Source organism: Homo sapiens, chromosome 10 (genome assembly GCF_000001405.40).
Source record: "Homo sapiens chromosome 10, GRCh38.p14 Primary Assembly".
Taxonomy (NCBI): Eukaryota; Metazoa; Chordata; class Mammalia; order Primates; family Hominidae; genus Homo; species Homo sapiens.
In genome coordinates this window covers 34,836,231-34,861,921 of record NC_000010.11, presented here as the reverse complement: position 1 = coordinate 34,861,921, position 25,691 = coordinate 34,836,231, and positions in this window count along the sequence as shown.

The window sequence follows — 25,691 nt, the reverse complement described above, 5'->3', positions numbered from 1 at the left end:
GGAGAGAGAGAGGGCGGTAGGAAAAGGCCATTTAGTGTGTGTTGTGATGAAGGATGCACAGCAATTGTTTGGGTTTTCAAAAGAAATTATTTTAATGCATGCATTAATTCTCCTTTTCATCTCACTGCCTGCCAGAAAATTGGTTGTACAAGCGTTCAAGGCATTTTCCCTGGACCAGATATTTACACAGGAGTACTGTGTTGACATTATGTGGCTTCGGATTTCAGCGGGCAGGCTGATGCCTCTTGGGACATGTAAGTGCAGAAGGCAAGGCCTGCCACGCCCGTGAGAAGGGAGCCAGCTTCAGAGAGGGCTCCAAGGTTCATATTTGTTCTCCAAACCAAGTCAAGGGTGGTACTTTTTGTTTTGAAAATATAAGGGTCTGCTTCTGAACTCTTCCATGCATTTATATCCTATTTGGGTTTTATCCAACGGGAAAATTGGGTTTGGGGGACCCCTAAAAACTGTCTTTTAATTTTTATGTATTTATTTATTATTTTTTGAGACAACGACTTGCTCTGTCTCCCAGGCTGGAGTGCAATGGCACAATCTCAGCTCACTGCAGCTTTGACCTCCTGGGCTCAAGGGATCCTCCCAGCTCAGTTTTCTGAGTAGCTGGGACCACAGGTGTGCGCCACCAGGCCCAGCTAATTATTGTATTTTTTTGTAGAGATAGGGTCTCGCTGTGTTTCCCAGGCTGGTCTCAATGTCCTGGGCTCAAGTGATCCGCCCACCTCAGCCTCTCAAAGTGCTGGGATTACAGGCGTGAACCATGGTGCCCAGCCTCCAAAAACTATATAGATGATGATAAATAAATATCATTTAAGATAAAGTATTGCAGTTATACTTTTGGGAAATAGAAAAAAAAAGATAGTCCGGAAGATATAGCTGTTGATACTGTTGTTATTTTGGCTCCTATGACCATTAGAATCGTCAGCCCCTCTCCCTCTGCAGAAGTCCCTGGAGCTCTGTCTTCATCCTTGGCAGGGAGACCCTTTAACTTTTTTCTTTATTTTTCTTACTCTTTTGTGAAGGCCATTGAGTATGAATTGAAGAAGCAGGTAGAAAGTTTTTCTGTTGGCTGGCTGCAGTGGCTCAGGATAGTAATCCCAGCACTTTGGGAGGCTAAGGCGAGAGGATCACTTGAGCCCGGGAGTTTGAGATCAGCCTGGGCATTGCAACAAGACCCCATCTCAGTTTTTTTTTTTTTAAAGGACATTTTTCTCAAAGGAACTGAATATAAAAAGAGAAACATGCAGATGCGGGGGATAATTTGGTAAGATTTGGAGAGTGGGCACTCTGTCCGACAGCCCCACTGCCATGAAACAGGTTATCCAGAGACCTGCATCTGCGGTGGTCATCCAGAGTGGCCCTCAGACAAACCCAGGAGTGCTGGTGCCTTCACCTCTCCCACCCTACCCTGTCCACAAAGCGGGTTGCATTGCCTCAGTTACAGGAGGAGACCACTGAGGTCTGGGCACAATTTTTTTTCTGTCACCCAGGCTGGAGTGCAGTGGTGCAATCTCGGCTCACTGCAACCTCTGCCTCCCAGGTTCAAGCGATTCTCCTGCCTCAGCGTCCTGAGTAGCTGGGATTACAGGTGCACGCCACCACACCCGGCTAATTTTTTGTGTTTTTAGTAGAGATGGGGTTTCACCATGTTGGCCAGGCTGGTCTCAAACAAACCTCAGGTGATCCACCCGTCTCAGCCTCCCAAAGTGCTGGGATTGTAGGTGTGAGCCACCGCGCCCGGCCAGTGCAGAATTTTTGCCCATACTCATGGCTGCTCATGTGTTTCTGTGAGGAGTCAGCCAGAATTTGGGCTGCAGAGATTCTAGGTCTGAAGACCACACACTATTTGGAATGTTCCTTTTAGAAAAGAATGCTGTAGGAGGCAATATGAAGACATTTTAAATATAGTTCTCAAAAACACGTTCTTTTTTTGTTTTTGTTTTGTTTTGTTTTTGGCATAAAGTTATGAGCGGGGGCTCGAGATCTGACTGGGGTCAAATCCTGTGCCGGTGCCTCAGTTTGCCCATCTGTAAGTGGGGTTAATCGTAGAACCCATGTCATATGTCATGATTGGTATGAGAGTTAAATGAGTTCTTGCATATAAAACACTTTGCACAATGCTTGTCTCATAGTAACCATTAAATGTGTTTTGTTGTTGTTTTTGGAGATAGGGCCTTGGTCTCTCACCCAGTTTGGAGTGCAGTGATGCAATCATAGCTCACTGCAGCCTTGAACTCCTGGCCTCAAGTGATCCTCCCACCTTGGCCTCCCAAAATGCTGGGATTACAGGTGTGAGTCACCATGACTAGCCAGCATTAAATATATTTACTACTAATATATTGTGAATAATGTTCATGCACAATGAGGTTAAGAACCTCTTACATTGCACAATTTTACTACACTCTGTTGAGGAAGGGCCATAGCTAGAAATTATTCCACATTTACCCAGAGATTCATTTTCAAGGCCTCAGTTTGTCCACTAAAGCTATATAATAGCAGGAATGTTTGCATGTTGGTGTGTCAGCCCAGAGGTTTAGATTCACATTGGATGGCAACCTTCCAAGGCCCTGTGTATCTGGTCCTTCCTGTTAGCTGCTCAAGGACTTGATCTCCACACACAAAGCAAAATAGAGAATTAAGGACATTTTCTGAGAGTTGAGGTTATCAGTGTTAGATTTATTTGGGAAATTGTTTCAAATCTCTGGGAATTTGCCCTTTGGAAAACTACTATTCTCTACTTTCTCAGACTACTGGGTCTTGGAATTGTGACTTATCTGCAAGAAAAAGAAAAAAAAAAACACAGCTTGCATTCATACATCCATTCATCAAATATTTATTTGATGAACTTACATAGCAGCATACTATGTTGTCTGCTGGGAGTTGGATATAAAAAGATGAACAAGGGCCGGGCACGGTGGCTCACGCCTGTAATCCCAGCACCTTGGGAGGCTGAGGTGGGCGGATCACTTGAGGTCAGGAGTTCAAGACCAGCCTGGCCAACGTGGTGAAACCCCATCTCTACTAAAAATACAAAAATTAGCCGGACACAGTGGCACATGACTGTAATCCCAACTACTGGGGAGGCTGAGGCAGGAGAATCACTTGAACCTGGGAGGCAGAGGTTGCAGTGAGCCAAGGTCGCGCCACTGCACTCCAGCCTGGGTGACAAAGCAAGACTGCCTAAAAAAATAAATAAATAAAATAAAATAATAAATAAACAGCCAACAAAGACCCTGGATGATTTTCTTTTTGTCTGGGTCTCTTGCTACATTGTCAAGGCTGATCTCCAACTCCTGGGCTCAAGCCATCCTCCGACCTCAGCCTCCTGAGTACCACCTGGGATTATAGGCACACACCATCACACCCAGCTCAGAGACACTGGATTATTGAGCAGATGGATGAGAAGTTTTGGGTGACCAGGTTGTGCTATCCTCTCTCTGATGGTAGAGATGCCCCAGAAGCCATGCCCCTCAGAGCTGAGTAGAAGGCAAGGGCAGTGATTACTCAGGTGTCCAGACTCAGAGAGGGGTCACGAGCTCATTTCCAAGACAAAGAGCCAAAGGTCAGCTCCAGAAACTTACAGAATGACTTGTCTGAGTAAGGGGCCACGGTATAAAGCCCGCACAGTCAGTGGAGGGTGGTGAGATTCACTGCACAGACCTAGAACAGTGCGGATGCCTGACAGCAAGAGGCCCTCAGGGCAGAGCGGTGCACCGTGAGTCTGAGGGTGCAGGTGTGGGGATTGTGAAGTGCCTTTCATGTCTATCCAGTGTGTTGAGTTTTTGCCTTTTCCTGCCAGTGAGGGTGAATGGGTCAGCTATCTTTACATCTCTGCAATGTGCAGAATGTTTGGGAAGGAAATGGGACAAGATAGGAGTTCGTGTTTATTTAGGACGCTATTGCAATGCTTCCAGGGTCTCTGTTAAGGTCTGAAGGAAGACAATGGTAACCAGTATGGAGAGGAGGGTAGGTAGACTCCAAAGGTGTTTCTGGGCTAGAAATGGCAGGATCTTGCTGTGGTAGATAAAGGCGAGGAGGGAAGAGCAACAGTTTTGCAGAGGATGGTGTTGGCCAGAAGTCTGCCTGGAATTGTACTCTTGGCGATAGGGATCTGGGAATAATAAAAGCAGCAATGGTGAGAGCTGACTTTGCCCCTGATGCCATGCTCACCACTTTACCTGAGTTGTTTCATTTAATCCTTACTGTGAAACCTGTCAGGGATATGGTTATCCCCACTTAAAAGAGAAGGAGCTGAGGTACAGAAAGGGGCAGTAGCTGTCCAAATTGACACAACCGTCAGTGCCACGCTGGATCTGGGACCCATGAACACCCTGCTCGGGAGGCTGAGATGGGAGGATGACTGGAAGCCAGGAGTTTGAGACCAGCCTGAGCAATATAGTGAGACCCTGTCTCTACAAAAAACAAAACAATTGCCTGGCATGGTGGCACATGGCTGTAATCCTAGCTACCTGGGTGGCTGAGACAGGAGGATCGCTTGAGCCCAAGAGTTCAAGGTTGCAGTGAGCTACGATTGCACCACTGCACTCTGGCCTCGTGGACAGAGCAAGACCCTGTCTTGAGAAAGAAGGAAGGGAGGGAGGGAAGGAGGGAAGGAGGGAGGGAAGAAGGGAGGGAGGGAGGGAGGGAGGGAGGGAGGGAGGGAAAGTCTGAATCATTCTGGGATTTTGGAGAACAGGTTGGGCAGATCCTCTAGGGCCACCCCAGGCAAATAACTCAGCAGAAGGAAGACATCCGGCGAGAGAAAAGGGCCCGGATAGGAGGGGATGGAATATGTGCTGGAACCCTGAGCAGAGCAGGTGGTAACCGTGAAAGTCCTGCTCCATGCATGTCTCCTTAAGGCATCCTAACAGGAAAGTGAAGGGTAGAAGGCTTTGGTAGCCTCAGGAGGACCTGACTGGCTATGTCCAGGGCAGACAAGTAGGGCTGCATGTGGCCATTGTCAGAGTGTTTGGACGCTTAGGAAAAACGACATCAACGTTGGAGCAACTAAGAGGGCTCACTTCTCAAAACAGATTCATGACGCTCCTGCAGGGTTCTCTGAAACAGTGGGAAATAATTTACAAGAAGACTGGGGTTCTTTTTTTTTTTTTTTTTAAGATGGAGACTTCCTCTGTTGCCCAGGCTGGAGTGCAGTGGTGAGATCTTGGCTCACTGCAGCCTCCGCCTCCTGGGTTCAAGCGATTCTCCTGCCTCAGCCTCCCGAGCACCTGGGATTACAGGTGGTTGCCACCACACCAGGCTAATTTTTGTGTTTTTGCTTGAGACGGGATTTTGCCATGTTGGCCAGGCTGGTCTTGAACTCCTGACCTCAAGTGATCTGCCTCCCTTGGCCTCCCAAAGTGCTGGGATTACAGGCATGAGCTATCACACCCTGCCAGAAGACAGGGGTTCTTATGATGCTGCAGGTGGACAGGTCATAGACATAACACCAGGCTTTTGTCCCCCTGTTTCTTCTCAGGCAGGTGCACATTGCCTCAGCTACACAGAAAATAACAATAACAGCCAACATTTGTTGAACAATTGCTCTGCTCAGGCATGGTACTGTTGACATATATTTTTGTTTGTTTGTTTTTGAGACAAGGTCCCGCTCTGTCACCCAGGCTGGAGTGCAGCAGTGCCATCATAGCTCACTGCAGCCTCTACCTCCTGGGCACAAGCAATCCTGCCACCTCAGTCTCTCAAGCAGCTGGGACTACAGGTGTGAACCACCATGCCCAGCTAATTTTTAAATTATTTTTGTAGGAGTAGGGTCTTGCTATGTTTTCCAGGCTGGTCTCAAACTCCTGAACTCAAGCAGTCCTCCCACCTTAGCCTCTCAAAGTGCTGGGATTATAGGCATGAGCCACTACATCCAGCCAACATACATTACCTTATTGAATTCCCTAAATAACACCAAGAGGCCAATGTTAATCACTTTCCCTCCTTCACATGACAGATGGGGAGGAGAAGTGATAACCATAAGCTCTGTCTAGAGTTAAAAATTTATAAACCGGCCGGGTGTGGTGGCTCATGCCTATAATCCCAACACTTTGGGAGGCTGAGGCCGGCGAATCACAAGGTCAGGAGATTGAGACTATCCTGGCCAACATGGTGAAACCCTGTCTCTACTAAAGATACAAAAATTAGCCGGGCATGTTGGTGTGTGCCTGTAGTCTCAGTTACTCTGGAGGCTGAGGCAGAAGAATCACTTGAACCTGGGAGGCAGAGCTTGCAGTGAGCCGAGATCGCGCCACTGCACTCTAGCCTGGGTGACAAAGAAAGACCCCATCTCAAAAAAAAAAAAAAAAAAATTATAAACCAATGATCCTATAAGCCTATCATGATCACCACCTTTTCTTATTAAATGAAAATGTCCAGGCAGGGCACAGTGGCTCATGCCCGTAATCCCAGCACTTTGGGAGACCGAGGCGGACAGATCATCTGAGGTCAGGAGTTTGAGACCAGCTTGGCCAACATAGTGAAACTCTGTCTCTACTAAAAATACGAAAATGTAGGGTTAGGCACAGTGGTTCACGCCTGTAATCCCAGCACGTTGGGAGGCCGAGGTGGACAGATCTCAAGGGCAGGAGATTGAGACCATCCTGGCTAACACGGTGAAACCCCATCCCTACTAAAAATACAAAAAAATAGCCAGGCATGGTGGCACATGCCTGTAATCCCAGCTACTCGGGAGACTGAGGCAGGAGAATCTCCTGAACCCGGGAGGCAGAGGTTGCAGTGAGCCGAGATCGCACCACTGCACTCCAGCCTGGGTGACAGAGCGAGACTCCATCTCAAAAAAAAAAAAAAAAAAAAAATTAGCCAGGCATAGTGGCAGGCACCTGTAATCCCAGCTACTCGGGAGACTGAGGCAGGAGAATCTCCTGAACCCGGGAGGCAGAGGTTGCAGTGAGCCGAGATCGCACCACTGCACTCCAGCCTGGGTGACAGAGCGAGACTCCATCTCAAAAAAAAAAAAAAAAAAAAAAAATTAGCCAGGCATAGTGGCAGGCACCTGTAATCCCAGCTATTTGGGAGGCTGAGGCAAGAGAATCACTTGAACCCAGGAGGCAGAGGCTGCAGTGAGCCGAGATTATGCCACTGCCCTCTAGCCTGGGTGACAGAGAGAGACTCCATCTCAAAAATAAATAAATAAATAATAAATCAAAACGTCCAATTTGAATATATCTTAGACAAATTCTAAGCCTACTTTGAAGATGGTCAACATGTTCTTGTCTTCCTTTTCAAGCTCTAATTTTAAAGTTTGTTTTCTCAGCTGACTGGATTTGTCTTTGGGCACCCTGGAGGTGCAAAGTGACATCACCATCTGATCAGCATCTAAAAACATTTTGGCTCATTTAAAAAATAGAGATTTTGAATGTGCCCTCTTAGTTATATTTGCCCATCTGAGCATGCTGCGTGAAAACCCTGGGTAGACAGCCTGTTCTGCAATTTGTTTTTAAAACAAGCTTTTCGTCTTGCAGGCTGAGAGGATTCTGTTTAAAGGGTGTACACTGTGAATCACAGTTTCAAAGGAAGACGGCAAATATGAACCTCAGCCAAGCAATTTGTGAAGCTGGATTGCTGACAGAAATCCAGGAAGCAGCAGAAAAACAACAAACAAAAGAAGAGCTCAGGGGCTGCGTGTAACCTGGAGGAACACAGTAGGATGAGCCCCAGGATGAAACGGGTGATGTGAGGGAGCAGAGGTCTGATGAGGCAGCCTTGTCTTGAAAAGCTGAGAAGCCCAGCCTCGGGGACAGAGTGAGACTCTGTCTCCACAAAAAATTTCTTTTTTTTTTTTTTTTTTTTTTTTAAGACAGAGTCTTGCTCTGTCGCCCAGGCTGGAGTGCAGTAACGCAGTCTCAGCTCACTGCAACCTCTGCCTCCCAGGTTTAAGGGATTCTCGTGCCTCAGCCTCCCAAGTAACTGGGATTACAGGTGCCCACCACCACGCCCAGCTAATATATGTTATTTTAGTAGAGATAGGGTTTCACTATGTTGGCCAGGCTGGTCTCAAACTCCTGGCCTCAAGCACTCTGCCCGCCTTGGCTTCCCAAAGTGCTGGGATTACAGACGTTAGCCGCCACACCCAGCCTCTACAAAAATTTCTAAATGTTAGCCGGCCATGATGACACATGCCTGTAATCCCAGTTACTCGGAGGCTGAGGCAGGAGGATTCCTTGAGCTCAGGAGTTCAAGGCTGCAGTGAGCTATGATAGCACCACTGCACGCCAAAAAAAAAAAAAAAAAAAAAAAAAGAAAGAAAAAAAGAAAAAAAAAAGGAAAGAAAAGAAGCTGAGAAAGCATAGCCATTCAGAGGCTCGAGAACATTGGTGGGGGTGGTGCAGGGGGCGGGTGTGACACTTCTGCATTTGAACAAGCTGTCTTCACAGGCTCCTAATGTGTATTCAGTTACCATAAGAACAGGGAACTGAATATTTCTTCAATTAGATGCATAGGCTTTATTAAATAATATATATTTATTTAATTATTCATTTATTAAATACAAATTTTCATTAACTCAACCAATCAATACAAATCTGTCTACATGATTGTCATGTATATTATGTTCTTTTTCTCCGTAATAATAATGACTGGGTGCTGTGGCTCACGCCTGTAATCCTAACACTTTGGGAGTTGAGGAGGGAGGATCACTTGAGCACAGGAGTTTGGGACCAGCCTGGAAAACATAAGAAGACCCTGTCTCTAACAAAAAATTAGCTGGGCTTGGTGGTGCATGCCTTTAGTCCCAGCTACCTGGAGTGCTGAGGTGGTGGATCGCTTGAGCCCAGGAGGTGGAGATTGCAGTGAGCTGAGATCACATCACTGCACTCCCTGTCTCAAGTAATAATAATAGTAATAATAATAGTAATAATAATAATTGACCCTTATTGAGCTCTCTACCTTCAAAACGTATCCGGAGTGTCTCTGCTCCTCACATGAATGTAAGCTCCATGAGGGCAGGAATTTTGATCTTTTCTGTTCACTGATGTATTTACAGTACCTAAAATAGTGCCCTGCACATAGAAAATGCTCATGAAATGTTTCATGAATTAATGAATGTATGAACAAATGCATGCTGACACTTTGCCAATGAATATGTATTTTATTGATTAATCTTCATCACAATTTCATGAGGTAGGTGTTTATTATTATTTCTGTTTTACAGATGAGCAAACTGAGTCCCAGCAAAGTTCACTGGTGTGGCCAAGGTCACATGGTTGTAAGTGGCAAAGACAGAATCAAACCCAGGTGGTCTGGCTCCAGGATCCACCTCTTGGTACTGCAGCTCTTCCTGATAATACAACTGACCTTCCAGCCTCCTGTATTCACATTTAGTTTTTCCTCGATTTCCCTGTGTTTAGTTTCCTGTAATACTCTTCTAACAGGTCAAACTATTTTATACTAAAGCCTTCTTTATACGCAAAAGAAAACTTTTATTTTAAAGCATACATTATTCAATATTAATGCTCATGCCAAAGAACCTTAAATTAGTTTAGATTTTTTTTTTTAAAGGCAGGAGAGTAAAAAGATTACCTTCAGGAGAACTTTAAATTTACATTTTCTTTTAAGAGAGAATATAAGCTATTATGATATTTTTAATGAAAGTGTATTTATGCTTAAGTTTTCTCTATGCTATGATATTTTAAAAAATATTTTTATGAGACATGCTGCCTACTGCACTGACGCAACTTAACAATCATTTTTAAAAAGAAGGAAAGAAGGTAGTATGGGCTGGATGTGTTGGCTCACACCTGTAATTTGGGAGGCCGAGGTGGGTGGATCACCCAAGGTCAGGAGTTGGAGACCAGCCTGGCCAACATGATGAAACCCCATCTCTACTGAAATACAACAATTAGCCAGGTGTGGTGGCAGGTGCCTATAATCCCAGCTACTCTGGAGGCTGAGGCAGGAGAATCGCTTGAACCAGGGAGGCGGAGCTTGCAGTGAGCTGAGATCGTGCCACCGCACTCCAGCCCGGGTGACAGAGCCAGCCTCTGTCTCAAAAAAAAAAAAAAAAAAAAAAAAGGTTAGAAGATAGTATGAGGCAAAATTACCCAGGCCATAACATTACAAATATAAATTTTTAATTCTTAATTTTTATACAGCCTTAATTTTTCAGGGCAATTTTATGTATTTAAAACAATCAGAGGTCAGGCGCGGTGGCTTACGCCTGTAATCCCAGCACTTTGGGAGGCCAAGGTTGGGTGGATCACGAGGTCAGGAGTTTGAGACCAGCCTGGCCAATATGATGAAAACCCGTCTCTACTAAAAATACAAAATTAGCTGGGTGTGGTGGTGAGCACCTGTAGTCCCCGCTTCTCAGGGGGCTCAGGCAAGAGAATCGCTAGAACCCGGGAGGTGGAGGTTGCCGTGAGCCGAGATTGCACCACTGCACTCCAGCCTGGGTGACAGAGCAAGACTCCATCTGAAAAAAAAAAAAAAAAGATTAGATATATGTAAATGATAATGCGTTTAGAGATCTACAGGCTTAATAGTAAAGAGATAGATAAAAGCATATTATCTTGCCACAAATTGCAGCCTGTGATGTGCTATCCTTTTTTTTAAAAGACTTGTGGCGGGGTAAGGTGTCTCACGCCTTGTAATCCCAGCACTTTGGGAGGCCGAGGCAGGCGGACCACGAGTTCAGGAGATCGAAACCATCCTGGTTAACATGGTGAAACCCCATCTCTACTAAAAATACAAGAAAATTAGCCAGGCCTGGTGGCGGGCGCCTGTAGTCCCAGCTACTCGGGAGGCTGAGGCAGGAGAATGGCGTGAACCCGGGAGGCGGAGGTTGCAGCGGGCTGAGATTGTGCCACCGCACTCCAGCCTGGGCAGCAGAGCGAGACTCCGTCTCAAAAAAAAAGAAAAAAAAAAAAAAATTCCTCAAAACAGCTCATAATTTTAGAGCCATAGACTCTTAATAATCATCTCAGACAACCTCCCGGGTGATTCAGAAATTGTATATTTGCTAGCTCATGGCTGAATTATATTAGTAGAAAACCAAAGTTACAATGGCATTCTTAGGTTCTTTATAAAAATGTTATTTTTCCTATTGGAAAATGTTTTATGATTAACATGGAAAAATGTGGCTGTATAATTTGCGTCTATCTCAAATTTAGCTGAGTTAGTGAAAATAATCCTTAGGGAATGAGATGAAGCCTCTTTTCATTTGGACATCACTCTATTTTATGAGAACTCTCACACAATGCAAATGTGAAATCTGAATCTGATTTGAACGTGTAGGGAAATACACCATGAAATTGTCATATCCCAAAGGCCTATTCCTGTGCCACATGTGAGTTTAGAAGGATCTCTCACAGGAGAAAGCAGGTCATCTTGTACTTCAGTTTTTCAGATGATCATTTTATCATGACTCAGGCTGAATATTTTTGTGTACCTTTAGGAGGAGCCTCTTCAGCAGTTGCAGAAGGAAGGTTCTCCTTTTGTAAAAGTAGATACTTCTGGAAAAAACAAAAACAAAAACAAATTTTCTTACCAATTTTCATAAGTTTTAATTCCATCAAGTTTTCTTAAGACATTAGATTGCTATCTTTTATTTATTTTATGTCCCCTTGATTGGTCTAAGGATATAGAAGTTCTTGCAGACCTCAATTTTATTTTTTTCTTTCTTTTCTTTTCTTTTCCTTTCTTTTGTTCTTTCTTTCTTTCATTCTTTCTGTCTCTCTCTCTCTCTTTCTCCCTCTCTTTCTTTCTTTCTTTTTTTGAAGACACAGTCTTGCTCTGTTGCCCAGGCTGGAGTGCAGTGGCATGATCTTGACTCACTGCAGCCTCTGGCTCCCTGGTTCAAGCGATTCTCATACCTCAGCTTCCCAAGTAGCTGGGATTACAGGTGCTCACTACCATGGCTGGCTAATTTTTTGCACTTTTAATAGATACAGGCTTTTGCCATGTTGCCCAGGCTGATCTCAAACTCCTAAGGTCAGGCAATCTGCCCATCTTGGCCTCCCAAAGTCCCGAAGTGCTGGAATTATAGGCGTGAGCCACCACACCTGGCCCCCAGACCTCAATTTTATAATCCAGATCTCTACATCTTTAATTTTAGGGGAAAGATCATATTCCTCTTTTATATCGCCAATTATAGCATCAAATCTTCCCCTGCTTTAAGGAACATTTCCGAATATCTGCTAAGATCTCTTCCCCTCCATGTGTTGGTCCACACAGCCTTCCCAAAGATGTCTTCCTGCAAACAGCAAGTTTTCTCTGATCTAACATTGGTTCTCTCCCAATAGTATATTCCCAAATCTTTCAGGTTTTATTTCAAAAGGAGTAATTATTATTATTATTATTATTATTATTTGTGAAATGTGGTCTCACTCTTGTTGCCTAGCCTGGAGTCTGATGGTGCTATCTCGGCTTACTGCAACCTCTGCCTCCTGGGTTCAAGCTATTCTCCTGCCTCAGTCTCCAGAATAGCTGGGATTACAGGCGACTGCCACCACTCCCAGCTAATTTTTGTATTTTTAGTAGAGACAGGGTTTTACCATGTTGGGCAGGTTGGTCTCGAACTCCTGACCTCAGGTGATTCACCTGCCTTGGCATCCCAGAGTGCTGAGATTACAGGCATGAACCACTGCACCCAGCCAAGAGGAGTAATTTTTGAATGACTAAAAATTAAATGAAGGCTGGGCTCAGTGGCTCATGCCTCTAATCCTAGCATTTTGGGAGGTTGAGATGGGAGAATTGCTTGAGCCCAACAGTTCGAGACCAGCGTGAGCAACATAGGCAGACCCTATCTTTAAAAAAAAAAATTAAAAAATTAGCTGGGCGTAGTGGTGTGTGCCTATAATCTCAGCTACTTGGTAGGCTGAGGTGGGAGGATCACTTGAGCCCAGGAGATGGAGGCTGGCTGTAGTGAGCCAAGATTGTGCCACTGCACTCTAGCCTGGGTGACAGAGCAAGACCCTGTCTCAAAAAAACCACCACCATAACCACAAAAGAAATACATTTTGTAAGGCTATAGCTACCATAGATAGTGATTCCTCTGATGGGTCTGGGCAAAGTAAATTGAAAACCTTCTGGGAAGGATTCACTATTCTAAATGCCATTAAGAACATTCGTTGGCTGGGTGTGGTGGTGGCTCATATCTGTAATCCCAGCATGTTGGGAGGCCGAGGCAGGAGGATCGCTTGAGTCCAGGCATTCTAGACCAGCCTGGGCAACATAATGAAACCCTGTCTCTAAAAAAATAAAAACAAAAAAAAAACCATTCATGAGTCATGGGAGGGGGTCAAACTATCAACATGAAAAGGAGTTTGGAAGAAGTTGATTTCAACCCTCATTGATGACTTAGGATCAAGGCTTCAGGGGAGGAAGTAACTGCTGATGTGGTAGAAATAGCAAGATAACCAGAATGAGAATTAGAGCCTGAAGATGTAACTGAATTGCTGCAATCTCATGAGAAAACATGAATGGATGAGGAATTGCTTCTTGTGGATGAGCAAAGTGGTTTCTTGAGATGTAATCTCCTGAAGATGCTATGAACATTGTTGAAATGATAACAAAGGATTTAGAATATTCCATAAATTTAGTTGATAAAGGAGTGGTAGGGTCTGAGAGGATTGAATACAATTTTTTTTTTTTTTTTTGGCAGGATCTCGCTCTGTGGCCCAGGCTGGAGTGCAGTGATGTGATCGTAGCTCACTGAAGCATCAAACTTCTGGGCTCAAGTGATCCTCCTGCCTCAGCCTCCCCAAGTGCTGGGATTATAGGTGTGAGCCGCACTGCCCAGTCCAGACTCCAACTTTGAAAGAAGTCCTACTGTGGGTAAAATGGTATCCAACAGCATCACATGCTGCAGAGAAATCTTTTGTGAAAGGAAGAGTTGATCAATGTGCAAACTTAACTGCTGTCTTATTTTAAGAAATTGCCATGGCTAATGCTGTAAACAGATGTGCGATCATCCAGGCTTTGTTGTTGTTATTTCTAGAGCATGAACAGAGTAGACTTAGCATAATTCTTAAGGGCCCTAGGATTTTCAGAATGATCAATGAACACTGGCTTGAACTTAAAGTCACCAGCTGCATTAGCCCCTAACTAGAGGGTCTGCTTATTTTTTGAAGCTTTGAAGCCAGGGATTCACTTCTCTCTAGCTATGAAAGTATTAGATGGCATCATCTTCCTATGTAAGGCTGTTTCATCTACATTGGAAATCTCTTGTTTAGAGTGGCCACCTTCCTCAGTAATCTTAGCTAGATTTTCTTTTTTTTCTTTTTTTTTTTTTCTGAGATGGTGTCTCACTCTGTCACCCAGGCTGGAGTGCAGTGGCACAATCTTGGCTCACTGCAATCTCCTCCTTCTGGGTTCAAGCGATTCTCGTGCTTCAGCCTCCCAAGTATCTGGGACTCCATGTGCACACCACCATGCCTTTTTGTAGTTTGAGTAGAGACAGGGTTCCACCGTGTTGGCCAGGCTGGTCTCGAACTCCTGACCTCAGGTGATCCACCCACCTTGGCCTCCCATAGTGCTGGGATTACAGGCACAAGCCACCATGCCCGGCCTTAGCCAGACTTTCTGGACAACTTGCTGTGGCTTCTAAATCAGCATTTGCTGCTTCACTTTGCATTTTTATGTTGTGGAAATATCTTATTCCTTAAACCTCATGAATCAACCATTGCTAGTTTCTTTTTTTCTTTTTTTTCTGCAGCATCTTCACCTTCCTCAGTCTTTACAGAAATGAAGAGAGTTAAGGTCTTGCTTTGATTAAGTTTTGGATTAAGAGAATGTTGTGGCTGGTTTGATCTTCTACCCAGTCCACTCAAACTTTCTCCATATCAGCAATAAGGCTGTTTAGCCTTCTTATCATTTGTGTGTTCACTGGAGTAGCATTTTCATTTAAAGTGAGAGATAGGCAACGCTTCCTTTCACTTGAACACTTAGAAGCCATTGTAGGGTTAATTGGCCTAATTTCAATATTGTTGTGTCTTAGAGAATAGGAAGGCCCGAGGAGAAGGAGAGAGACAGGGAACACACACATTTGGCTGGCCGTGGTGGCTCATGCCTGTAATCCCAGCGCTTTGGGAGGCCAAGGTGGGTGGATCACTTGAGGCCAGGAGTTCAAGACAAGTCTGGCCAACATGGTGAAACCCTGTCTCTACTAAAAATACAAAAATTAGCCAGACGTGGTGGCTCACACCCGTAATCCCAACTACTTCGGAGGCTGAGGCAAGAGAATAGCTTGAACCCGGGAGACAAAGATTGCAGTGAGCTGAGATCCCGCCACTGTACTCCAGCCTGGGCAACAGAGCGAGACTCTGTCTCAAATAACAATAATAATAAAGTTTGAGATATTGCAAGAATTACCAAAATGTGACACAGAGACACAATGTTAGCAAAAATGGTGCCAATAAACTTGCAGTGTTGCCACCAACTTTCAATTTGTATTTTAAAATGTGACACACGTGCAGAGCAATAAAACTAGACATGCCAGACCAGGCCGGTGGCTCACACCTGTAATCCCAGCACGTTCAGAGGACGAAGTGGATGGATCACCTGAAGTCAGGAGTTCGAGACCAGTCTGGCCAACATGGTGCAACCTGGTCTCTACTAAAAATACAAAATTTAGCCGGGCATGGTGGTGTGTGCCTGTAGTTCAAGCTACTCGGGAGGTTGAGGCAGGAGAATCGCTTGAACCTAGGAGTCAGAGGTTGCAGTGAGCCAAGATGGTGCTGCTGCACTTCAGCCTGGGTGACAAGACAAGAGTGAGACTCTGTCTCAAAAAAAAAAAAAAAAAAGAAAGAAAGAAAAGAAAAGAAAACCACATGGCTACTATTTGTAGTCTCAGGATGGGGGTGGGGGAGAGGGGAGGCACTCTCAGACAGTACTGGTTGATTCAGAGAGGACTTCAGAAATCACTGGCTTGATTCCTTCAGACATCAAGAGCAAAAATGAAGCTGAGGCTGGGCGCGGTGGCTCACGCCTGTAATCCCAGCACTTTGGGAGGCCAAGGCAGGCGGATCATGAGGTCAGGAGATCGAGACCATCCTGGCTAACACGGTGAAACCCCGTCTCTACTAAAAATACAAAAAAATTAGCCGGGTGTGGTGGCATGTGCCTGTAGTCCCAGCTACTTGGGAGGCTGAGGCAGGAGAATGGCATGAACCCAGGAGGCGAAACTTGCAGTGAGCCGAGATCGCGCCACTGCACTCCAGCCTGGGTGACAGAGTGAGACTCTGTCTCAAAACAAAACAAAACAAACAAACAAAAAAAACAAAAATGAAGCTGAGAAAAGTGCTGTGGTCTGAACAACAAACCAAACAACAAACAACAAACAAAAGCTAGACATGCCTTCACCTCCAAATACACAAGTATAACCTCAATAGTGAATATTTTACAACATAATTCACAAGTTTTAAGTTGACTGAAGTAATTTAGTAAAATTCTAAAAGAAGACTGGTGGTATTGATGATGATGGATAATGATGGTGCTAATACTGCTCATTTACTTTTATTTTTATTTTATTTTATTTTATTTTATTTTATTTTAGTTTAGTTTAGTTTAGTTTACTGTTTTGAGACAGAGTCTCACTCTGTCTTCCAGGCTGGAGTGCAGTAGCGCAATCTTGGCTCACTGCAACCTCCGTGTGAGCCACTGCATCTGGCCTGCTCATTAATTTTTCAAGACTCCTGGCAAAATAAATCTATGTGGTTACATTGAATAGATATTGTACTTTGCAAACATGTAATATAAAAGGTTGACATCATCAGTATCCTTCATAAAAGCTGGTGATGGTAAAAGTTACAGACATGATCCCATTCTATATAGGTTAACAAATCTATACCAGTTAAGACAAATTGACCAGTCTGTGTATGTTATTTGTTTTTATTTAATTAGTTTTTCCTTTTATAGTCTTTCGGGTGGGGACACTGTCTGCCAGCATATATAGAATATGACTGGGGAAATATCCTTGACTCTTCCTTTTCTCTCAGTAAAAGAAAACACTGTTTCTATGCTCTCGACATTTCTGAGAAATGTGTGGGTTTTTTTTTTTCCTCCACAGTAACAACTAATTCTCCAACTCTGCAGACACCAACTGGATGTTGCACAGTTTATTTCAATTCAATTCTGATGCTATTTACCTGGAGTTAGCATTGTACCCCACAAGTTAAGGGCCTAGTCCCACAAGACTGTCCCCACTTCAGATGCCAATCTCAAGTCCAGGGCCTCCAGGACTTCTGATTGATGGCTACAAATTGGGGGTTCCCATGACGACCTCTGCATGCTTGATAATTTGCTGTAACAGCTGTCAGAACTCAGAGAAACACTTTACTTGCTATGACGGGTTTATTATAAAGGATGTCATAAAGGAGACATATGCACAGCCCAATGGAGAGGTGCGCAGAGTGAGGTTTGGAAGTGTTCCGGGTGCAGGAGCTTCTGTCCCTGTGGAGGGAGGTACCACCCTCTTGGCACATGGATGCATTCACCAGCCCAGAAGCTCTCCAAATCCTGTTTTTTAGGGTTTTTTTAATGGAGGTTCCATTGCACTGACATAATTGATTAAATCATTAGCCATTGGGGATTGATCTCAATCTCCAGATGCCCTCTCCTCCCTGGAGATTAGGGAGTGGGGCTGAAAGCTCCAACCCTCTAACCATATGGTGGCTCTAGCAGCTAGACTCATCCTGAAGCTCTGGGTACCCCAGTCACCTCATGAGCATAGAAAAGGAAGCTCATCACTCTGGAGATTCCATATGGGTCTTAGAAGTTCTTGTGTCAGGAAACACGGACCAAGACCAAATATTATAACGAAAGCTGCTCCTGTCACCCCATCCTTCAGGAAGCTACAAGGGTCTTGGGGGCTCTGTGTCAGGAACTGGGGATAGACACCAAATACATATTTCTTATTATGTCACATTCACCCTTTTAACCCAGTACATCTCAAAACTTTCTGATTATAACTCCAAAATATTTTTCATCTATGTCCCCCAACACATTGGTCCTATAATCCCGGGTGATCAGGCTTTCACTAACTCTTTCCTGGAATACTCAACAACTTCTGAGCTGGTGTTCATCCTTCCACTTTCATCTTCATTGGGTCAGCCTTCCACAGGGCCACCAAAGTAACTGGTATACTTAACATCGCAATCTGACCCATTATGCCACTGCTGAAAGGCTTTCTCTTGTTCCACGTCACTCGTAAGATAAAGTCCTGGCTCTTTCATACAGCGCACGGGGCTGGAGTGAGATAAAGCCCAGCTCTTTCACACAGCACACAGGGCTGGGGTGACATAAAGCCCAGCTCTTTCACACAGCACACAGGGCTGGGGTGACATAAAGCCCAGCTCTTTCACACAGCACACAGGGCTGGGGTGCAGTCACTGCTATTTCATCTCATTTCTCATCACACTTACAGAAGTAGATGTTTCTGGGCTGGGAGCAGTCCTGCAATCCTAGCACTTTGGGAGGCCAAGGCGGGCAGATCACTTGAGATCAGCAGTTTGAGACCAGCCTGGTTAACATAGTGAAACCCCATCTCTACTAAAAATACAAAAATTAGCCGGGTGTGGTGGCAGGCGCCTGTCATCCCAGCTACTTGGGAGGCTGAGGCAGGAGAATCACTTGAACCCGGGAGGTGGAGGTTGCAGTGAGCCGGGATTGAGCCACTGCACTCCAGCCTGGGCAACAGAATGAGACTCCATCACACACATACACACACACACAGAGGAATTAATTTTGCTCTACAAGCAACTTCCTTTCTACTTTCTATTCGGGTTTACTAAGAATCATCATGAATGGATGTTGAATTTTACAAATGAATTTTCTGCATCTATGCAGATGACCCTATGCTTTTTGCTCTTTAATTTGTTAATGTGGTGAATCACATTAATCAAAATAAATTTGTCTCACTCTGTCACTCTCAGACTCAAGTGATCCTCCTGCCTCAGAGACTACAGGCATGTGTCAGCACATCCAGCTTACTTTATTTCATTTTATTTATTTATTTTTAGACTGGGGCTCCCTATGTTGCCCAGGCTGGTCTTGAACTCTGGGGCTCAAGTGATCTTCCCACCTTGGCCTCAAATCAGTTTTCTAATGTTAAGTGAACTTTCAGGTAAACTCAACTTGGTCATGATGTACTTGCTTATTTATTGTTTAAGACTCTTTTCTTTCTTCCTTTTTCTTTCTTTCTTCTTTTTTTTTTTTTTTTTTTGAGATGGGGTCTTGCTCTGTTGCCCAGGCTGGAGTGCAGTGGCGCAATCTCGGCTCACCGCAACCTCCGTCTCCCAGGTTCAAGCCATTCTCCTGTCTGAGCCTCCCGAATAGCTGGGATTACAGGCGCTTGTCACCACGCCCAGCTAATTTTTGTATTTTTAGCAGAGACAGGGTTTCACCATATTGATCAGGCTGGTCTGGAACTCCTGACCTCAGGCAATCCACCTGCCTCGGCCTCCTAAAGTGCTGGGATTACAGGTGTGAGCCATTGCGCCCCACCTCTTCCTTTTTCTTTTAGAGACAGAGTCTCGCTCTGTCACCCAGCCTGGTGTGCAGTGGGGTGATCATGGCTCACTGCACCTTCAACCTCCTGGGCTCAAGGGATCTTCCCACCTCAGCCTCCCAAGTAGCTGGGACCACAGACATGAGCTGTCGCACTCAGCAATGTTTAGGGCTCTTGCATCCATGTTCACGGGTAAGACTGACAGGCAATTTTCCTGTTTCATACTATCCTTTCTGGTTTTGATATCAATATTTTGCTAACCTCAATACATGAGTAAGATGACTTCCAGCTTTTTTTCACCAGTAGAGTTTGTACAAGACTGGAATTATATATCCCTAAATGCCTGAGGGAACAGTGTCTCCCCGTCTCTGTATTCCTCTTTCTTTGCAAACAGCTCCCACTACAGCAATGACACCCACAGCTCCAACTTCCTCCAGGAGCAGCCCCTAGCAGAAGCAGGCTCACTTTCTCGTGGTCTAATAGCACAATCCTGAGTGAGAGAATATGATTAGAGGTGTATGCCTGTGTCACACAGATAGGAAGGGGTGGGCTGAGCTGCATAATACAAATGAAGATCCTGGCCAGAACTATCTACTTTTTTTTTTTTTTTTTGAGATGGAGTCTCACTCTGTCACCCAGGCTGGAGTGCAGTGGCGTAATCCCAGCTCATTGCAACTTCCGCCTCCTGGGTTCAAGTGATTCTCCCGCCTCAGCCTCCCAAGTAGCTGGGACTACAGGCACCTGCCACCATGCCTGGCTACTTTTTGTATTTTTAGCAGAGACAGGGTTTCACCATGTTGGCCAGGCTGGTCTTGAACTCCTGACCTTAAGTGATCCACCCGCCTCAGCCTCTCAAAGTGCTGGGATTATAGGCATGAGCCACCGCGCCTGGCCGCAAAATTAATTCCTAATGGTGGAAGGTTTAAAACATTTCCTCCAAGACCAGGATCAAAACAAACATTTGCATTATCCTTCCTTCTATTCAACATCCTGCTAAAGGTCCTAGCCAGTGAGGAAAAGAAATAAAAAGGCACGGAGATTAGAAAGAAAATAAAAAACATATTATTTATTGATGATATGATTATACACATAGAAAACCCAAAAGAATCTATAGAAACATTATGAAAATCAATAAGAGAGTTTGGCTACATTGCTGAATACAAAATCAATGCATAAATGCCAATTGCATTTTTATACATTAGCAAAAGTAGTGAGAAAATGTAATTTTGAAAAAGACACCGTTTGCAGTAGCAGCAAAACTATAGAATAACAAAAGAGAAATCTTTCAAAATGAGCAAGTTCTTTATGAAATTTAAAATTTTTATGGGTTGCATTAAGGAAGAGCAAAACAAATGGAAAGCTGTATCATATTCATAAATGGAAAGACTTAATATCAATTGTTCCTAAATTGATCAATTCATTTTATTTTCTCTTTAGAGATGGGGTTTTGCTATGTTGCCCAGGTTGGAGTGCAGTGGGGTGATCATGGCCCACTACAACCTTGAACCCCTGGGCTCAAGTGATCCTCCTGCCTCAGCTTCCGGAGTAGCTGGGACTACCGGCGTGCACCACCACACCTGGCTCTAATCAATTCATTTTAAATCAAGGTCTCAAGAGGTCTCCCCTGCCTCTCCCTGTCTGGAACTTCATAAACCCATCCTAAAATGTGTGAAGAGCAAAGGGTGAAAAGTGGTCTAGAGACTACTGAAGCAGTGGATTGGTTTAGTGTATGAAAACTTATCATCATAAAGTTATTGTAATAAAGGCAGTTGGTGCTGGGCGCAGTAGCAATTTGGAGGCCGAGGTGGGTGGATCATTTGAGGCCAGGAGTTCGAGACCAGCCTGGCCAACATGGTGAAACCCCTGCCTCTACTAAAAATACAAAAATTAACTGGGCTTGGTGGCACATGCCTGTGATCTCAGCTACTTGGGAGGCTGAGGCAGGAGAATCACTTGAACCTGGGAGGTGGAGGTTGCAGTGAGCAGAGATTGCACCACTGCACTCCAGCCTGGGACAGAGTGAGGCTTCGTCTCAAGAGAGAAAAAAAAACAGCAACAGACTAATGAAAATATGGAACATCTATTTACACCTAAGCAGGCATTACACATCAATGCAAAAAGGGTGGAGAATTCAATAAATGCTATTGAATCAATCGGCTATCCAACAGGAAATGGTAAATTGGATTGCTCCCTTACACATCACAAATCTATTCTAGATTAATTAAAGACAACATTAAAAAGCAAAACTATGAAAAAATTCTGAAGACCATTAGGAGAATACATTTATGACCTCAAGGTAGGTACCGATTTTTTAAACAAGACACAACAAGCACTAAGTATAAAGGAAAATAATTAGTCAGGCCCAGTGGCTCGTGCCTGTAATCCCAGCTTTTTGGGAGGCCGAGGCAGGTGGATCAGCTGAGGTCAGGAGTTCAAGATCAGCCTGGCCAACATGGTGAAGACCCGTCTCTATGAAAAATACAAAAATTAGCTGGGCGCAGTGGCACGTGCCTGTAATACCAGCTACCTGAGGCTGAGGCAGGAGAATTGCTTGAACCCGGGAGGTGGAGGTTGCAATGAGCCAAGATCGTGCCACTGCACTTCAGCCTGGGCAACAGAGCGAGGCTCCATCTAAAAAAAAAAAAAAAAAAAAGAAAGCATATACTACCATACAATTTCACTTTTTATAAAATTGACAGAACTGAAGGAACATGTTGCTTAGGGATGTGTACTTATCACATAAAACAAAGGAAAAAGGGGAGACAGTTAACATGAAACTCAGGAAAGAGGATGAATGGAAGGGGCTTAGAATCACAGTGTTTCTGTGGCTTACTTAGAAACAATGTCTCTAAGGCCGGGTGTGGTGGCTCACACCTGTAATCCCAGCACTTTGGGAGGTTAAGGCAGGAGGATCACTTGAGCCTAGGAATTGGAGACCAGCTTGCCCTGGGCAACATAGACCCCATCTCCACAAAAAATTAACTAGGCATGGTGGTGTGTGCCTGTGGTCCCAGCTACTTAGGAGGCTGAGGTGGGAGGATCACTTAAGCCAGGGAGCTAGAGGCTGCAGTGAGCCGTGTAGCACCACTACACTCCAACCTGGGTGGCAGAGAAGACCCTGTCTGAAAAAAAAAAAGAAAGAAAGAAAAAAACAAGATATGTAACTCTGTTAGTATTCTAACAGGTACTAGACTTATCTGTTTCTTACAGAAGAGTTATATAGATGGTTATTATCATTTTTTAACTGAATATCTATACAATTATATGAAAGAGAGAGAAGGAGAGATGTAAGAATGAGGGGGCCAGAGAGAGAGGAAAAAAGAGAGACAGAGAAAGGAAGAGAGACTTTTCACATGCTGAGCTGCTTTTTTTTGTGTGACAGGGTCTGGCTTTGTCACCCGGGCCGGAGTGCAGCGGCATGATCTTGGCTCACTGCAACCTCTGTCTCCCAGATTCAAAAGATCCTCCTGCCTCAGCCTCCCAGTAGCTGAGACTACAAGTGTGTGCCACCACGCCCGGCTAATTTTTGTATTTTTTGTAGAGATGGGGGTCTCACCATGTTGCCCAGTCTAGTCTCAAACTCCTGGGCTCAAGTGATCTTCCCGCCTTGGCCTCCCAAAGTGCTGGGATTCCAGGCGTGAGCCCCCTGTGCCTGGCCTCAGCGACATTCTTGTCATGTGATGTCTTGGCGTCTTTATGATAAAATGTCCTTCTTTGTTTACTAATTTTGTGTGCTGAGTTGTGCCCCAGCATCTCCCTGCCTCCACCCAATTCATCTGTTTAAATCTTAACCCCCTGTATCTCAGAATGTGACTATATTTGGAGATACAGTCTTTAAAGAGGTAATTAAGTTAAAATGAGGTCATTCAGGCAGACCCTAATCTAATATGACTGGTGTCCTTATAAGAAGAGATTAGGACACAGACACACAGAGGGACGACCATGTGAAGACACAGGGAGAAGACAGTCATTAATTTCTGTGTCACTGTTTCTGTGGCCACAGCCACCCAGTCTGTGGCACTTTGCAACAGCAGCCCTAGCAATCTAACACAAGTAGACTGAGCTCTTTTCTGTGATTTTTCTTTCTTTTCTGCAGTTCTTTCTGTTTGCCTGCTGTGCACTTTAATCTCCAGTGTTAGCCGTTGCTCCTGCTGTCCCCCTGTCTGGTTGGCCATCCCCAGCTCATGCCTTCAGAGTCAGCCTTGTGGTTCCACCTCCAGGAAAACTTTTTAAAACTGGGTATCCTGGCCCAGGACTTCCAAGCAATCCTGCCCTGTCTGGCATTACAAGGACCACTGCAGATTGCAACCATCTGTGTGTGTCTCTGTTCCCTAGAGTATGAGCTCCTTGGGGGCAGAGTGACATTCATCTTTGCAGTCTCAGCAGTTGAGTTCCTGGTGCACAGTAGGGGCTCTGTGGCTGCTTGCTGGGTGCAGGCAACCGTACAATGCAGACCTCAGCCAGGGAAGGCAGTTCCAGGTCAGGCAGGGTAGCTCACGCCTGTAATCCTAGCACTTTGGGGGGCCAAGGTGGGTGGATCACCTGAGGTCAGGAGTTCAAGGCCAGCCTGGCCAATGTACTGAAACCCTGTCTCCATTAAAAATACAAAAATTAGCTGGGTGTGGTGGCGGGCACCATGTTTCACCATGTTGGTCAGGCTGGTCTTGAACTCCCGACCTCAGGTGATCTGCCCACCTGGGCCTCCCAAAGTGCTGGGATTACAGGCGTGAGCCATCGCGCCCAGCTACAAAAAATTTTAAAATTAGCTGGGTGTGGTGGTGTGCGCCTGTGGTCCCAGATACTCAGGAGGCTGAGGTGGGAGGATGGCTTGAGGCTACAATGAGGTATGACTGTGCTACTGCACTCCAGCTTGGGCAAAAGAGCATGACCTTTCTCAAAAAAAAAAAAAAAAACTCTCTATATGTGTACATATATGTATATCAGACAGTAGTATGTGTGTGCAATGCAAATGATTAACAAGGTTGTGGGATAGGCAGTAACATGGGTTCCTTTAGAGTGAGTGGTCAGGGAAGCCTTGTCTGAGGAGCTAACAACTGTGCTGAGACCTAATGACAAGAAGCAGACATGTTGGGAAAATCCTTGGGAAGAACATTCCCAATAGAGGGAATAGAAAGTACAGAGGCTGGCCAGGTGTGGTGGCTCACACCTGTAATCCCAACACTTCGGGAGGCCAGGCAGGTGGATCACTTGAGGTCAAGAGTTCGGGATCAGCTTGGCCAACATGGTGAAACCCCATCTCTACTAAAAATGCAAAAAATTAGCCGGGCATGGTGACATGCGCCTGTAAGTCCCAGCTACTCGGGAGGCTGAGGCAGGAGAATCACTTGAACCTGAGAGATGGAGGTTGCAGTGAGCTGCAGTGAACCAAGATCCTGCCACTGCACTCCAGTCTGGGCAACAGAGCAAGACTCCATCTCAAAGAAAAAAAAAAAAAAAAAGAAGGCCAAGCATGGTGGCTCACACCTGTAATCCCAGCACTTTGGGAGGTCAAGGCCAGCGGATCACAAGGTCTGGAGTTTGAGACCAGCCTGGCCAATATGATGAAACGCTGTATCTACTAAAAATACAAAAATTAGCTGGGCATGGTGGCAAGTGCCTGTAGTCCCAGATACTCGGGAGGCTGAGGCAGGAGAATCATTTGAACCCAGGAGGCAGAGGTTGCAGTGAGCCTAGATCACGCCACTGCACTCCAGCCTGGGCGACAGAGTGAGACTCTGTCTCAAAAAAAAAAAAAAGAAAAAAAAAAAGAAAGCAAAGAAAGAATGTACGGAGGCCCAAGGGTGAACAGAGGAACAGAAGGCCGGCCAGTGTGTCAGGGTGTAGGAGTTGGGAGAAGTAGGTGGGGAATAAATGTGGACAAGGCAGGGACCAAAACACCCAGGGTTTCCTTGGATCCTGCAAAGCTTTTATTCTGAGTGTGGTGGAAGGCCACCTACAGGTGTCAGAAGAGGAATGATCAAGATTAAGAGCGGGGTGCTTGCAAAGAACTTGGAGACAACTGGGCAGATTCAGGGGAAGGTTTGCAGATGGAGTCAATGAACCATGAGGTCAGGGGGAAGGGAAGACTTGGTGACTTTCAGGTTTATGACTTAAGCAGCTGGGTGAACAGTGGGGCCATTTACTGAGTTTCAGAAGTCTGGGGGAAGTGAAGGGATGGGGTATCAGGGAGTCTCTTTCGGCGTGTTCAATTTCA